Source organism: Homo sapiens, chromosome 8, assembly GCF_000001405.40.
Source record: "Homo sapiens chromosome 8, GRCh38.p14 Primary Assembly".
Lineage (NCBI taxonomy): Eukaryota > Metazoa > Chordata > Mammalia > Primates > Hominidae > Homo > Homo sapiens.
Genome location: NC_000008.11, coordinates 2,039,153 through 2,055,843, shown reverse-complemented (window position 1 = coordinate 2,055,843; position 16,691 = coordinate 2,039,153). Strand labels below are relative to the sequence as shown.

Below are 16,691 nucleotides of genomic sequence, written 5' to 3'. Positions count from 1 at the left end.
GTAGCATCACGGCTGTCCAGAGACCTGGGGAGAACTGAGACCCGCTGCAGGTTGGCGGTAAGGCCTGTCCGAGACCCAGGGTGCAGGGCCTCTGTCCGAGGTGCTTCCACAACCCCACACGGCTCCGATGGACCAGCGCTTCCCCAGCAGCGATTAAGACTAAGGCCTGGTGTTAGGCATTTGGGAAGTTCGCAATCAGAATTGCAGAAGTCTGCAGCCTCTTCGTACAGAAATGAGGTGGGAGGAACCCTAAAATCTAACCATGAAAGGAATGTGGATTTATCTCCTTAGGAATCGGGGACCTCACCTCGCACCTCCCTGTCCCCGCTCCGACCACACACACAGCCTTTCCCTACAATGTTTAGGGAACAGTCTGTTTGGGCCTCAGCCATTCTGCATGCCCTCTTGCCTGGGGTAGATTCCTCCCAACCTCTAATGGGCTGGCTTCTGCTCCTCCTGCTTTCAGCACAGGGGTCTCTCCCTCAGAGCCTCTCCCCTAGGGCCACCCTCAAATCACAGCCCTGTGGGTCTCTTTCATACGTCCTCATCCTCCTCCTGCAGAGCACGTGCCACCTCTATAAGCACATGCATGTGCATGTTGAATGACACCAGCCCTGTCCTGTAACTCTGAATCCCAACAAAGCGGGAAAATGCCCTCTTCATTGCCCCAGTATCCAGGTACTTGGTTCCCCCAGTATCCAGGTACTTGGTTACCCCAGTATCCAGGTACTTGGTTACCCCAGTATCCAGGTACTTCGTTCCCCCAGTATCCAGGTACTTCGTTCCCCCAGTATCCAGGTACTTGGTTCCCCAGTATCCAGGTACTTGGTTCCCCAGTATCCAGGTACTTCGTCCCCCCAGTATCCAGGTACTTGGTTCCCCCAGTATCCAGGTACTTCGTTCCCCCATTATCCAGGTACTTGGTTCCCCAGTATCCAGGTACTTGGTTCCCCAGTATCCAGGTGCCAGGTGCCAGGAGGAGTTCTAGGAATATGTGTTCAAGAAATGAACGATGGCGTCAGATGTCCTGCAGGGAACAAGCCTTCTTACAGGGGAGTGAATCCCACCAAATTGCAGGGATCGAGAAGACAAAGCTTGGTCTGCGCCACGCAGCACTGTGATGAGTTTAAAGGTTCAGATGTCCTCTCTTGACACCGTTTACTTTTCTATGGGCTCTTTATGTTTGAGTAACAAGAGCCTCAGCTTATTCTTAGGTCAATAGCACCACTATCCTCTAACCCTCCATGATTCAGAATAACTAATTGGTCTGGAATTCCTCCCACAGCCAACCCCAAGTCAGGACATTGAGGAAATATTTCTGCCGGCTGATGATCAGTTGACCGTCACTTCAGCCCACGTGTGCACAGTAACGTCATTTGTCATGCACTGATTGTAAATGACAAGCCCCGGGACAGGTGGCTTGCAAGATTCAGGGAGGCCCATTTTTCACTGGGACTGAAGGAAGATGTCAGAGGGACATTTCCAATGGGCCATATCTTCCAGAAGGATGTGTTGAGTGCCTTCAGAGCATCGGGGTCGTATCTTCCAGAAGGACGTGTTGAGTGCCTTCAGAGCGCCAATGTCTCTTCAGTATTTATTTGACACAGGGACATCAGCAGTAACTCACATCAGTGAGCCCACAATTTCATCTTTTGCAAAGGACCAACTTGTCCAGCACGCTAAACTAATATCCACGTTGGGAGGTCAGGGATAAATACATGCTTGTGATGATGCTTGCAGCCCGTGAGAGTGGTGAATTCTAATAAGGGCTGGAATCCATGGAGCTGCTCACATCACTCAGCACGGGGCTCACTCATCCCTCCTGGGCCCTTCTGCATGACGGTGATAGAGCAGGCTTCACAATAAATCTCAATTAGAACTTGCCCAACTCACTGAGATCCCCACGACTTATGTTTACCTTTAAAGGAGGAAAGAACTGATTTCAAAACGATCTTCCCCATGGAAGACATGCACATGGGTTAGGAGAATACAACACTCGGGGGCTGCTGAAGAAAATCTCATGGAGAGCATGAGCCGTGGGCTCCACACAAAGCTGAGAAAGTGCCTAGCCTTCGTCCCCCGTCTCTACTACGTCTAAGACAGACTGGCATTTAACGTGAGGATCAGAGGTGCCGTGAGAACATAACCCCTTCACCAGTCACTCAAATCCCTTCTTTGAGTCAGATTTGGTATTGCAAGAGCATAGACCAATGTGTTTTAGGACAATTTCCAGCAGCCAAGGCTGTCTTGAAAGTCATTGCTGCCAAAACCATATGAATCACAGTAAGCCACTCACTGTTACCATTTTACCAGCAGGGAAATTGAGCGATAGGAAGTTTATGCAATATGTTCAAGTTCACATCAATGTTTAAATGATAAAAATAAAATGATAAGCTCAAGTATTCTATTGTAGCCCCCAAAACCTAAATATAGGTAGAAGAACCCTTTAATCCAATACATAAAAATCTGGATTGTGTTAACATCTACATTTCAAAGAGATTCTTTCACAAAAGAAATCTTCACTTTACACTAGAATTCATTTACATGGCAAAATTATCCTATGACATTTAAAAAAATTCAATTTTTTAAAAATAAATGTTAACCTTCGTTAACCTTCTTGGCTATACATTGTTTATATTCAACAGATGACTTCATCTTTCTGAAACTTTCAAAATGAAAGATGTTTACTCAAATCTTATTTTTCCTTCAGGTTTTAAATGCTTTGAAGATATAGAGAAAATTCCCAGAAGTAGCAGGGGGAGATGAGGGAAAAAATACAGCAGGTATAAAACAAGGCACCCGCGAACGTTTAACTGTTCACTTTGTCCTTAAAAGATCAAAGCCATATCACCACCTGTTTCTCCGTCATCTGGAAATAATTTTAAGACTGGCATTTTTATTAATCCATCCCATTCCCATGACATTTCACCCCACGAGCTGCCTCTGTTGAAATGTAAAGCATGACAATTTATAGAATCCCTTCCCAACTCTTTAGTTTCCACACGACAACTGTTTAAAACCCTGGCTCCCGCTTAGGAAGATGACCTTGCTTGAATGTGCACCCCTCCACGGCTGTTCCTGCATAGCTACAGAGGTTGCAAGTGGAAATTCAGAATTACTCTCACACTGCTAGGTCTTGATGTTTTCATGTGTGCTTATCCTGCTCTGTCTGGAAAGGGACTGAGCTTGGCTTGGAAGCCACGGACCCTGGAGCTCTAAGCCCAGCTGGGACATGCGTGAGACATGGAATCCTGGGCAGTGGCGTGAGCGCTCTGAACAGCAACGCTCTCTTCTGCAAAATGGTGGGAAGCTGGTGCCCAGTAGTTTTCTTGTTCAGATTAATTGAGATAATGATGGTAAAGAGAAGCAGGTGATTGGGAAACAGCAGCATTCTCCCTCTCACCCCAGGCATGGCCTGTGTTCCTTGATCTTCCCTCTCAGCTAAGGTCGCTCTTCCCTCCTCACCCCACTGTCCCTCCACTGTGACCCCACGCAGGGCACAAGTGGAGTCAGGGAAGCCATGTGCTCACCTGCTTCTGTTCTCCTGCTCCTCATCTTCCTGCGTGCTCACTCGCTTCGCACAGACCCTGCAGATGGTTCCTCCCAGGGACGTCTGGCTGGAGGCTCTCTGTGAAGACGACCGCTGACTCAAGGACTTCTGGGAAGATGCCTGGGTGGAAGCTCGCCTTCAGGAACATGGACACGATTAGGAGATGCATGCTCAGGCACAGTATGGAAATTTATCCTGACACACATCACTTTCTCTCTACACACCCCAAACCACTGGTATATGCAGAGCACACACAAACACACACATGCACAGGCATATGAGAGGCATGCACCTACACACATATATGCACACATGCACACACATGCATGCATATGCACATACAATACATGCGTACACATGTGTATGCAAATAAATGCATAAATGCAAGGACACGCCTTCCCACAAGCACATGCACATGCATACACACAGCGCGTGCACACATAAACAAACCTACACAAGTGTACACACACTTGCACACAGGCAAACCCAAGCCTGTGTCCCTGTGTGCCCACACCCATACCCCGCACATGCCCGCCCTGGGGTGCTTTCTCCCTGAGCTCACTGTGGCTGGTGCCACCTCCCTTCAGAGCCAGCCAGTGCCGGCCACAGTCTTTCTGGCTCCACGCCAGGATTATATATATCTTGAGGGATTTGAGACACCCCAAGGCTGCTGGGAGGGGCTGCAAATGTTTGGCTTTGTTTGGCACAAGGGATGGCAACTAAATAAAAGTACCCTAAGCGTTTCTAAACATAGGGTGTGGGTGACATGAGGCAGGCACCTGGGCTGCAGAACGCCTGCCCGCGGTCCCTCCCTCCCTTCACCACAGCCTTCCAATCAGCCCATTAAGATTGCAGATTTGCTGCTACACAAACAGTGTCCATGGGGGCGTGAGCTGCCATCCTGTATGAGGCCATCCCCGAGAAGCTTCCGGAAGATGCAGGTGCACACCAGCCCCAGAGGCAGGGATTCTTGATCTCGGCACATCCATGATCGATGTAGCCAAATCACTAATATTGCCTCCCATTCTGTCTTTACTCTGCCACCCATTAACTTCTCTCCTACCGACAGCCTTTCCCACCAGTTTCAATCTCATTGCTTTTTATTTTGGGTGGCTTTTTAGATCCTAGTTCTGGAAGGCATGTGATGAGCAGTAAAATCAACGAGCTCATACAAAGGACTTCCTGCCTCCCCACCTCGATCAGGAGCTGAACTCGGCCAGCAGGACCTGCCAGAACACTACGCCAGCTCCACAGAGTGCTGCTCCGTGGCAGGACCTGGGCACGGGAGAGGCTGCCATCTCTGCTCTCTGACTCCCTGCAAACCAGTGCCTCTCCAGGGCTGACGGAACTGGAAAAGCCTTTAAATGTCAGACCCCCATAATCAAAGCTCTGCGCGTCTCATCAGCGAATGTCAGCTTACTTTTTTGACGCATATTCGTCCAGCAGGTACCGTGTTTGAATATTACGGTAGGACTGGTCGAAGTGCCTATGTCTCTTCTGGTAGAAGGGGACAGTCACAAGGGACATCTTGGCGTGCTCCTACAAAGAGAGTCACACACAACACTGAGCTCCCTCGCAAGCATCATGAGGCCTCTGCCATTTCTGCATCATTCCAAAGGGGAAAATGAACTCCAGTTAATAAAACCCCCTTGGGAAGGGAAAAAATGAAAGATTACATGGCCAGAAATCACCTTAGACCAGCAGTCAGGAAGCCTATTAACTTCCCAGGGACCCAACTTTATTTTTTGTTTTCTTCCACAACAGTTGGAAGATTGGGCTGCTGTTTCATTTCATTGTGAACTCAACAAGTATTCCTAGAACCCCTGGTGTGTTCAGGGCAAAGTTCAAAGCAATATAAGTGGGAAGTACAAAAATAATTAAAGCAGATTAGAGAAGTAAACAAACACTTAGAATACAAGAGAACATACGATAAGAGCCAAGAGCCCGGGGCAGGTAGAAGGTGTCCTGGGAATGGCAGGAGGCCAGGACGGCCGAGTGGCCCACGAGGCAGGTGACATTTGAGAGGAGGCTCGGTGGACAGGTGGGACTGCCAGGCGGAGGTGGGAAAGGAGGGCAGCCCATAAGCAAAGGTCGGGCAGGAGAATCCAGGATCATGGGAGACTTGCAGGGGTGGGTGTGACCAGAAATCACTCTGGAAAGACGCAGCCACAAGCGGAGGTGGCGGGTGTCTGCCTGGGGAACGGGCAGTCTCTCCACCATGCAAAGGGGGATGTGGAAAAAGGGACTGGCTGGAGATGCCCCCTGGAATCTGCCGTCTGAAGTCTCACTGGTTACGGTAGACAGGCGTAGCAGGAGGTGAGCAGGAAAAGTGAGGACAGAGCCTGGCATGAAAGCCTCAGGGATGTGGGGAAATTCGAGAGTGTGGATGAAATTCTCCCCAAACAGGAGATGAGCGAGTTCCATCTTTTTCTCTGGGAACTTGCAGCATTACAGGTATTAGACATGGCAATCTGCTGTACATGTTCACCCAAAACACGTAAAATGCCAACGTGCTGAGTGACTTGATCATCACGGCAAAGTTACGTAGGGACCGTATTCCTAAATCTCTGCAGTCATTAATTTCCCAAACAAGGTGCAAAAGGACTCACAACCTGAGCTCCATTTTTTACTTTTCTGTTTAAATGACGAGGATCTGTCCTTATTTAAAGACAGAACTCCTAGGCCAGGCCCCATGGCACAGCCCCAGGGGTGCCACCCACATCCCGGGCCATGGGTATGAGACTTGGGTGGAAAATGCCAAGGGCTGCTCGGAGATGAATTTGTCATAGTTCAGATCTCCAGGGTACGTGCTAGAAAACCTACCACAGTACATAAATTGCTCCTTATGAGCTGTTTCCTTTGAACTCTGTAATCTCCGAGAATCACAGTATTGTAGAACTTGGAAAGATCACTAGCGATTACCCAAACTCCTATTCTACAGGGAAGAAAACAGGACACGAGGGCCAGAAAGGAGAAATTCTTCCCCAAAAGCATGTAGAAGAGGCTACCCCTGCCCCAAGGCCATCCTTATTCTGGGCCTTTCACACTGCCACACTAACTCTCTCAATATTGCCTCTTAAAACCCAACTAGTCGACCAACCACCCCACCCTGGGAGGGCCCAGCCGTGTTTTAGAGTGCACCAGCATGCATTCTACTCCAGGGATATAACGGAACGTTGCACCTCATAGAACACAATAAAAGCAGCCGGGCGCAGTAGCTCACACCTGTAAACCCAGCACTTTGGGAGGCCAAGGCGGGTGGATCACGAGGTCAGGAGATTGAGACTACCCTGGCTAAGATGGTGAAACCCCGTCTCTACTAAAAAAAATACAAAAAATTAGCCAGAATGGTGGGGGTCCCCTGTAGTCCCAGCTACTCGGGAGGCTGAGGCAGGAGAATGGCGTGAACCTGGGAGGCGGAGCTTGCAGTGAGCCGAGATCGCGCCACTGCATTCCAGCCTGGGTGACAGAGCGAGACTCCATCTCAAAAAAAAAAATAAAATAAAAATAAAAAATAAAATAAATAAATAAATAAATAAAAGCATATCTCCTCCACCCGCCCTGATATTGAAGGCAGTATCATAGTGCAGAGGTCAAGCGCCCAGGTTTTGATGTCTGGTAGACCTGGGATCGAATTCTGACTCCAGCATTCTGATGAGGCCTGGGGTAGCTTCTAGCTCCTCTAGCTCTGGCGTTCCATATTGAATCTGCATCATGCCTGGCCCTGGCCCTGGTACCGAAATCGGTTGCTGTCTCTGTTATGCTGCTGCTGTTATCATGGTTCAAGAATTCTGCAGACAGGAAAAGGTATCTGAGAAAATCTATGTATTGCTTCACTATTTGAAATCTCCCCAGATGCAGCTCACTGGGATTTTCCAATGAGTTAATCAAGGTGGATCTTCAAGAAACGCTTCCTGCTCAGAAACCCATTTACTCTCTCTGGAGTTCACCAGCAGGGTGCTGGGAAGAGCTCACTGAAATGAAGTTGGACCAAGGTTGGGGAAGACGTTTCAGCTTCCATCCGGTTTCCTATCCAAGGTTCTTCTGGGATCAGCCTGACGAATACCAGGCAATTCCACTCCAGCAGACGCATGAGCAATCCCCAGTACCTGCTATTGCAGCAGGGGCTCATGTGTCATCACAGTATCTACTTACACTTATGTTGAGTTAAACCTCAGATGTGTTTGTATTTCTTGGTAAAGGGAAGAGTCAAAATGTGACCTATTAGGTCAAAGGAGAGAATGAGCTACATTGAAATAAGAGGAGAATCGCCCTGGATGGAAATCCTCCTCCTTAGACCTAAGACCTGGAAGAATGTGAAACGGCTCAGGTCTTGAGAGCTCACAGACTAGCTATCCTTCAACCAGTCTGTAACGTCCTGTCCAATGCAACCTATGTATCACTGACGTGACATCCGGTCCTGTGGGCCTGGAAGTCTTCAAACACTTCATGTGTGAGGGGCTACACTTTGTAGTGCTTAGCAAGGCAGAGCTGGGATCACGTGTGCACACTTCCTGCAATCCTCACTCCAATGGTACCTTACTGTGGAAGTCTCCCCGGGAAGTCTTTGGATGGGGGTAACAGGGCACTTTGCCACGTTTATCCCCACATGTATTCCCTGCTCACTTCATGCTCAGGACCACCAAAATCAGGAGGTGTCAGAGGCTTTGCAGAATCCATCAGCCTCAGTTGATTCCACAAGTATGGGGTCACTTGCAACGTGCCAGCCAAGCCTAAATCAGAACCCTTGGATTTCAACAATGAAAACACCTTAGAGCTCCTGGCTCGGGAGAGTAGCAAGCTCAAGTCTTCTGCGCATTTGACTCCCAGTGCCAATGTGCCCTCAACTCCACTTTTATCAATCACATGCCCAACCCAGAAAACCAGCAGGACTGCACGTCCAGCCTCACCCACCCTGAATGTGTGTCCCCTCCGCAATCTCTTCACTCCTTGGGGGACTTCCTATGTTAGAACTTCCCCAGTGTCCCTCACCCAGCCTGGGCCACCACCTCCTGGCCGGGTGTGATGACGTCTTTGCAAGCAAATCCCCACTGACTCAGCACGTGCTGGGTGCCTGCAGCCCTGGCAGCACAGGGCCCTTCTGAGTGGAGGGAACCCTGGAGAGGACTTGCCAAATGCACCCTACAGGTGGAGCATCCCTTATCCAAAATGCTTGGACCAGAAGAGTTTCCAATTCCCGATTTGTTTTTCAGACTGTGGAATACTTGCATTTATACTTACTGGTTGAGCAACTCAAATCCAGAAATTGGATACTTGAGATGCTCATGTAAGCATTTCCTTTGAGAGTCATACCAGCGCTCACAAAGTTTCAGAATTTAGAGCATTCTGGATTTCTGATCTTCAGATTTGGAATGATCAACCTGTACTATTTATGACACTATAAAGAAAATGACAGGACCTGGGCCGATCAGCTCCCCAATGTCCCTCTACTGTCTACATAGAAAGCTGTTTTCCTTTTTAAGGAACTATCTCAGACATGTGTTAAATACCCCCTACACACACCAACCAAAAAAAAAAAAAAGAAAAAAGAAAGAGAGAGAGAAAGAAAGCAGCTTTTCCTCGCAGGGTAGTTTTTGATGTGAGTCCCTGGGGCTCAGGCGCATTGGGAGGCTGAGACTCCAGTGGGGACCTGCTGACCTTCAGCTCAGGGGCCTCCACCTGCTCTGCTGTAAAACAGGGGGCTGAGTGAGGTGGCAGCTAACAGTCCCCCAGCTTGGACAGCCTGTGTGTAGATAATCCTGGCGCCACGCTGTACTGTTAGCACAGACCGTCCCCAGGGAAATATGACTTGCCCGGGTCACCGGTAGGGCCACGGCCGAACCCAGGCGCCAGCTGACTCTCCTGACAGCGTCCAGCCCACTTTCCACCACAGCCCAGCTCCCCGGCCACTCCCGGAATGCTCCTGACACGTTTAGGAATCATGACACCAGGATGAAACGCGAGCCTCTCCTCCAGTGCAGGGGACCACGTGTCTGATATCCCCATCCTAATTCCTTCCTGCAAACAACGTGTGGAGCCCATTCCTCATGTCACCAGGATGGGTTTTAATTTGCAAAAATGTTTGAAGTACAAAACATTGACTTCCACTTAATGAAGGAAATTGTTTGTACAGTTAAAAATGTCAAAGTCAATAAATACACCAAATTAAAGCTTTCTAGAGGGGAAAGGGACTCCCAGACACGCAGCGTTGGCCTGTGCCACAAGTGGCTAAGCCCTTGGCTCCCAAGACAAGTTTTAGCTTGGGACTTGGTTTATTAAATAACGCCTTAAATTATCTTTGTTCCACGCTTTCTTTGAGTCCTGTTTTACTTCTACTTAGTAAGAAAGGAATGTGAAATGGAGAATTAGAAAAGGCCAGGTGTTCCCAGTGATGGCAAACCCCTTCCTTCCGTTTGCCTCCGGTGCCTTCCACGTGCAACCACCCAGCCCCACTGTCTTTCTCCAGCAGGTTGCATTTCAAGAGCACGCCCTGAGAAGGCACAGCCTCTATCAGCGGAGTGGAGCTGAAGAAGTCTGAAGGGTCACAACACACCCAACAGCACAAAGAAGAAAACAGCCGTAAGAACGCTGTCATTTTTGGGCAAAAACTTGCAAGTCCTGACAAGGATTGTTCTCTTTCCCATACCGTGGATAATATAGGCTAGGTCTAAGCTGAATGACCCTCGACTCTTTTTTCCCTTAAGAAAATATCCAGTTTTATTATTTCACACCTTTATAAGTCAGCCCTCTCCTCGGGGGAGGCTTTCGTTTCTGAGAATCTCATGAAACTTGCAGACATCAGTCCACTGACTGGGGGGCCCCCTGGGGCCACGATGAGACCAGGGCTAAAACCCAAAGCACACGCCGCAGGGTGCTAAACGGCACTTAGCAAAGACCACGGCTGTGGGAAATAAAATGTTAGTTGAGCATAAAACCTCGTCAAAGAAATACAGATCCCAGAACTAATTGCTCTGTTTTCCACAGTAAAGGGTGCCTGCGACGGGGTGCACTGGCTCTCTCTTCTTGACCCTGAAGTAGAGGTACTTAGAAAATGTGAGTGCAGAAGTTACCGGTCCTCCCCTTAAAGCCACAAATTAGAAAAGGCAAGAAGAGAAAGACACTTACCCAGACAGAAAGGAAAATTGCAAGGAGGAGAGAGAATTCCTGACCACCGGCTCACCAAGCCACCCACACTCCAGCCGAGGAAGGCAGAGCTGACTCCTGCAAAGCAAGCGCCTGTGCCTCCCTCCCGTTTAAGGTCTGAGGAGCTACTATATATAGACGCCTGGGCCTGCCTCTCCCCACATCAATACCCACATCGTAAATCACCAGCCTGACCTCAGGAGGAAAAGCTTCTTGTTCAAACTGAGGGCGGGGGAAATCACGATTCAAAACTGGAACGTGTCCTTTCTGAGTCCCAAACTGCACTTTTCCCAGGAAACCGGGTGTGACACTTCAGCCCCCGACCCAGAAAGAGAGGGCAGGGCACTGACTTCCCACGCTCCCTCCCCGCAACTCTCCTCCATGAGTTCTAATCCTTACGTGTGAATTCTCAGACATATCTTCAATCCTTTCGAGCTACAGGTTCCCTGGCTCACAAATTGCAACTCCTGAATGAGTCTTTAATAATGACATGGATTTCAGTGAGCATTTGTGCCATTCGCAGGCCTGGACACCCGAGTTGAGGTCGGCTGTGGAGGGAGGGAGGTGCACAAGCCCCTGGGTTTGTGAGCGTGTGTGTGCATGTTCGTGTGTTTGTTCGTTTTTTTTTTTTTATTTCAAGAACGACTCAGGTCTTCACTCGATTGTATCTTAGGGCTATTTTAGCAAGAACTGCCTACCCAAAAGAGGAGCGGTGCCTAGTCGGCAAGTCGGGGCTTATTTATAGCCATTACCACAGACGTACACTGCGTCTACACCACACGGATAATTGCAGGGTGCCCGTCGTTTCGCACAGCGTGTGTCCAAATATAGATAACACACACCTGGCACGGTCCTGGGCTGCAGCCTGGCCAAGAGGCGGGGCCTCAAGGGGATGCCCCCATCTGAGGACCCGGAGAATCACACTCCAGCTGCACCTCACCACAGGGGCTGAGGACTTCGGCCAGCTGCTCAGCCCACGGGGGCTATGCTCCCCAGCTCTAAAACGCATGGAATAACAACTTTCCTGTAAGTTTGTTGTGACAAGTAGAGAAAATATGATAAGAGAATTGCCTTAAGAAACTCCACGTTCTCACACTGGGGTATCAGAGGCACAGCCAAGGACCAGCGAGCAGGTGGATGGAGGCGAAGATCAGATACGAGAAAGACGCGAGCACAGCCTCTTGCTGGGCCCCAGAGCGTTCTGGATGCTGGATCAGGAGGCGAGTGTTTCTGTCTTCTTCCCCTTCGTATTCTGATGGCCTAGCATTTAATTTAATTAGTGTTTGTTGAGTGATTTCTTAGTCTATTCAGGCTGCTTTAGCAAAACACCATAGACCGTGTAGCTTATAAAACACAGGAGCTTCTTTCCCACAGTTCTGGGGACTGGAAGTCCAAGATCCAGGTACCAGCAGACACTGCCTGGGGAGAGCCTTCTGGTTCTGGGACGGCGCGGTCCCTGAGTCCTCACCAAGTCAAGGGGCCAGGCCGCTCTTGGGGCCTCTGTATGAGGATACTGATCCCACTCGGGAGGTTCCACCTCCATGACCTTGTCACTTCCCTAAGGCCCCACCTCCTCACACCATCGTTTTGGGGGTTAGGGTTTTAACCCACATATTTTGGGGGGGTTGCAAACAGCAAGACCAGAGCAAGCAATGTTTACTTCCGGTTTATCAGCATCTCCTTCTCTAGCGAATCCATTTCTCAGGGACCTGGGGGACTTCCCTTCAGCCCTTCTGCCCCCCTGCCTCTGAGTGTGGCCGACACTGGAGGGGCAGTGATGGTGCCTCGTCCCCTCAGGTGGCATCTCAGTCCTCTGAGTCCCAGTCCTGGCATCTCAGTCGCCTGGGTCCCAGTCCTAGCATCTCAGGAGGGGACAATCTCATCCCGGGGAGGGGCCTCTCCTGAGAGAAGGAAGGGCCAGCACACTCCTCCTCCTTTTCTGACATTTCACGGTGGCTGTGCCCTCCTTCTGTGATATAGAAATCCAGTGCTGCGTCTAAGAAAGCCTGGATCTTTCAGCCACACCACCCAGAGAGCAGAGTGTGACCCGGGACACAGATAGGCTCCTGATGGGGACAGAGCTTCGCCTTCTGCTGGGGACAGGAGACCCCTCCCCACCCTCCTCGTAGACCCCCATCTCCCTGAGCCATGCCTGCCCCTGCCCACCCGGGATGTAGCTTCCAAAACTCCCTGGGTGAGGTGCACCTGCAGGAAGCCTGGAGCCAAGAAGGGACAAAAGACGGAGGGAGGCGGTGGGACCAGGCATGGGCCCCGCATTCTCCACCAGACACACCAGCTCTGGGGCAGACAGGCTCCTTCTTGCCGGAGTTCCTTGGGCTGACTTTCTATCATCGGCCATCAAGAGAATCCTGACTAAGACAAAGGAAGAGTCCAGCAATCTCATTTCCACAGCTCAAATTGGCAGCCTGTGAATGGAAAACAGTTGGCCTCACTGAGGATTTCCCACAACATAGAAAAGAAGATCGAAATGCAAAGAGTGACATTCTAAAACCACGTGCCTTCAATCCTGTGGAACCCCAGGCCAGACCATTCATGGGTGAAGTTATGTTCTATACAGCAACAATCCCCAACTGTTTTGGCAACAAGGACCGGTTTCGTGGAAGACAATTTTTCCAAGAACGGTGGAGAGGGGGATAGTTTTGGGATGAAACTGCTCCACCTCGGATCATCAGGCATAAGATTCTCATAAGGAGCGTCCAGCCTAGATCCCTCGCGTGTGCAGGTCACAGTAGGGTTTGTATTCCTGTGAGAATCTAAGGCCGCGGCTCTGAGAGGAGCTGGAGCTCCGGCGAGAATACTCAGTGGCCGCCATTCACCGCGCCATGCGGCCCAGCTCCTCACCGGCCACGGACCCCGAGGCTGGGGTTCAGGACCCCTGTTATATTGCACAGAGCCAAAACTGACATTCGATTCAGGAAAATCAGTTTGGATATTTGAAAGAAATAAAATTATTCTTAAGATATTTTGTTCACTTCCATGCATTCCGTCTCAGAAAACAAATTTTCTGTTTTTTAGAAATTATTTTAGAAATTATCCATGTATTTTAGAAATTATCCATCCCATGTATTTTAGAAATTATCCATCCAACAGGCCAAATATTCAGTTTTATGATTCAAAGGATGACAGCTCACCAGAAAGAGGCTTCGCAGTTGCAGCCACAGCACAGGGAGGGGCAGGGGGTCACCCTCCGTGCTCTCCCAAACCAGGGGGTGATGAGGCCAACAACAAAGGCGTCTGGTCCCCACAGAGCACGTGTGCACAGGCCGCAGAAGGGAGACTGGAAAATCTGGAGGCAGAAAACTCCCTTGAGGGCATCAGCCCCCATCAGCACTGCCTCTCATTCCCAAATCCTGAAAACCTGAATCTCAGAAAACAGCCCCACTTTAAAGAAAAGAGTTTTTTTCTTTATTTTTATTGACTGATGACTGATTGATTGAGATGGCGTCTGGCTCTGTCGCCCAGGCTGGAGTGCAGTGGTAACCTCCGACTCTTGGGTTCAAGTGAGCCTCCCACCTCAGCCTCCCAAGTAGCTGGTATTACAAGTGTGTGCCACCAGGCCCGGATATATATATATATATATATATATATATATATATATATATATATATATATATATATTTTTGGTATTTTTAGTAGAGACAAGGTTTCACCATATTGGTGAACAGGCTGGTCTCGAACTCCTGTCCTCAAGTGACCCACCCATCTCGGTCTCCCAAAGTGCTGGGATTACAAGCGTGAGCCACCATACCCAACCTTGTTCCTTTTTTCTGCCTTTAGAATGTCTTTGTTCCTATTTATGGTTGTGCAGTTCTGTATTTAGAATTTAAACCTCAAGAAAATCACATCCACTTAGATGAATTAACTGTAATGTTTAAATGTGAACCTTCTGAAAATGTTGATTGTGAGAGTAACCTTGTTTAGAGAAATACAATTGTCACCTTCTTAATTTCCAAGAAGTTCAATAGATGTCTCTTTGAGGCCATGCTTAATCCACTAATTGATGAAATAGGTCGCTGACATTCAGAGGAAGCGCCTTCCTTCTAACATTTCATTAAGTCAGTTAAACACGTGTCCACAGAAAGCAGCAGCTCAGTAATGAGGAACCCTTTAGCGACATGAATCGCACAAATTCCCAATGTTTCCAGCATTTCTGAATCATTTTCCAGGAAAGTAGGAAAATAAATGCTTAGGTTTCCTTTGCTTTTTTTTTCTTTTCTGCAAAATTTTGACTTTATTTTATAGTCCTTAGTAAGTTTACCTGCTATCTCTTTTGAGGCCAATATTATTATAACTACACATCAATTTCTGAGTAAAGATTTCCCCAACTACACCATCTTACTCTTCCCCAGACACTCTTGCCACAGCAGCCACCAAAGTGTGGGCTTCTTCTCTCCAAACTTAGCACATTCTCTGTGCTTAATAAAGGAGTTCTGAACTAACTGCCCAATGAATGGATTCAAGAGACATGAAGAACTTACTATTGTTAAGTATAATAGTTAATAGTGGCTCAGAACTAAACAGAAATATACAGAATTGACAAAGCTAGGCTATATTTAGTAATTCTTTACCTCAGCTCAAAAATATATATGGTAGATAGATAGATAGATAGATAGAAAGATAGATAGATATTGATATAGATAGATATAGATATAGACACTTTAAAATATATATACTTTTAAATACATTTAAATTAATATTTATCAAGCATTTACTATGTCTCAGAGTACCAGCAAGTCTTAATACTATAACTCTATGTAGTGGGTAATATATAAGACATGAGATGTCTGAAGTAGACTTTCACTTTTATGTGTGATAAAGTTGCTTCTAGTAGGACAACATTCTTACCCAGAACAAGTAACAATCCAGATAAAATACAGAGTGTGAGAGATGGCAAAAGAGTAATGAAAGAAAGAGAGAAAAACAGATAGGTGAATGGACATATAAGCTGATGGGCAGATGAATAGACAGACAGATGATGATGATGATAGGTTAGATAGATTGATTGATAAAGAGATTGATGGTATATGAGTTACATGATAGATAATAGATAGATGATAGAGTGATAGAAAGATAGATGATAGGTAAATAGATAATATATGATAAAGTGATAGAGTGATGATAGAGATGAAAGATAGACATAGATCAGTGATGGAAATAGATCAATAGGTGATAGATAGATAGACAGGATACACAGACAGACAGATGATACACAAGAGAGCTGTGAGAGCAGCCAGTGGTTCGAGGCCCAGTCCTAGTGAGAATTGTGCTTCCTGAAGTGGGCACTCTCTCTGCACATCACTTTCTATCTCTGGGCTCTTGCCGATTTGTGGCTGGGTTGAAGGTAAGGAAGAGGAAAGAGTGCCGCTGTTGAGAAGCAGGGGGAAACAGCAGAGCTTCCTGCAATACTGTGAAGCTGGAGAGATAAGAATTGGAGTCTGGGCCTGACAGTGCATCCAGGATTTGAAAGGCCAAGATCCTGAAGAGAGGGGAGGCTCAAAGATCAGAGCCCACATCTCAGCACCAGGTTTCACCTCAAAGCACTCCATGAGCAGAAGGCAAAAAGTAGTGAGAAAGCAAAGAAGAGCTGCTGGTGGGTTTCTGGTGCTCTTGAGTTGGGGTTTAGGACCCCCAAGAAAGGTGGGGCCATGTTAAACGAGGGAGACTCTCCATTTGCCAATGGTGTGTATTCTTTGGTGAGTTGTCTGTCCAGGCCTTTTGCCCATTTTTTTCATTGGGTTGTTTCTTTTCTCATTGTTGAGATTTAAGAGTTCTGCGGGCAGCCGTACTTTATTAGATGTATATTTGCAAGTATTTTCTTCCAGTCTGTGGCTTGCCTTCCCATTCTCCTGATCTTGTCTTTTGTAGAGCAGATATATTTAATTTTATTGATGTCTGGCTTATCAATTACTTATTTCATCAATTGTGCCTTTCGTGTTATATCTAAAAAGTCATTGCCATACAGAAAGTCATCCAGATG

The 16,691-nt window shown here is 47.9% G+C and overlaps 1 protein-coding gene across 1 annotated transcript in view; it reads right to left on the bottom strand.

Moving 5' to 3' along the window:
• Positions 1 to 10,798, bottom strand: part of MYOM2 (myomesin 2) — a 100,411-nt gene extending 89,613 nt beyond the window's left edge. Inside the window, exons 1-3 of the mRNA NM_003970.4 lie at positions 10,676 to 10,798; positions 4,971 to 5,089; positions 3,531 to 3,686 (exon numbers count right to left, since the gene is read on the bottom strand). Coding sequence (NP_003961.3) covers positions 3,531 to 3,686; positions 4,971 to 5,077 — 263 coding nt within the window. The 5' untranslated portion in view covers positions 5,078 to 5,089; positions 10,676 to 10,798. The remainder of the gene's footprint in view (positions 1 to 3,530; positions 3,687 to 4,970; positions 5,090 to 10,675) is intronic.
• Positions 10,799 to 16,691: the final 5,893 nt, after the last annotated feature.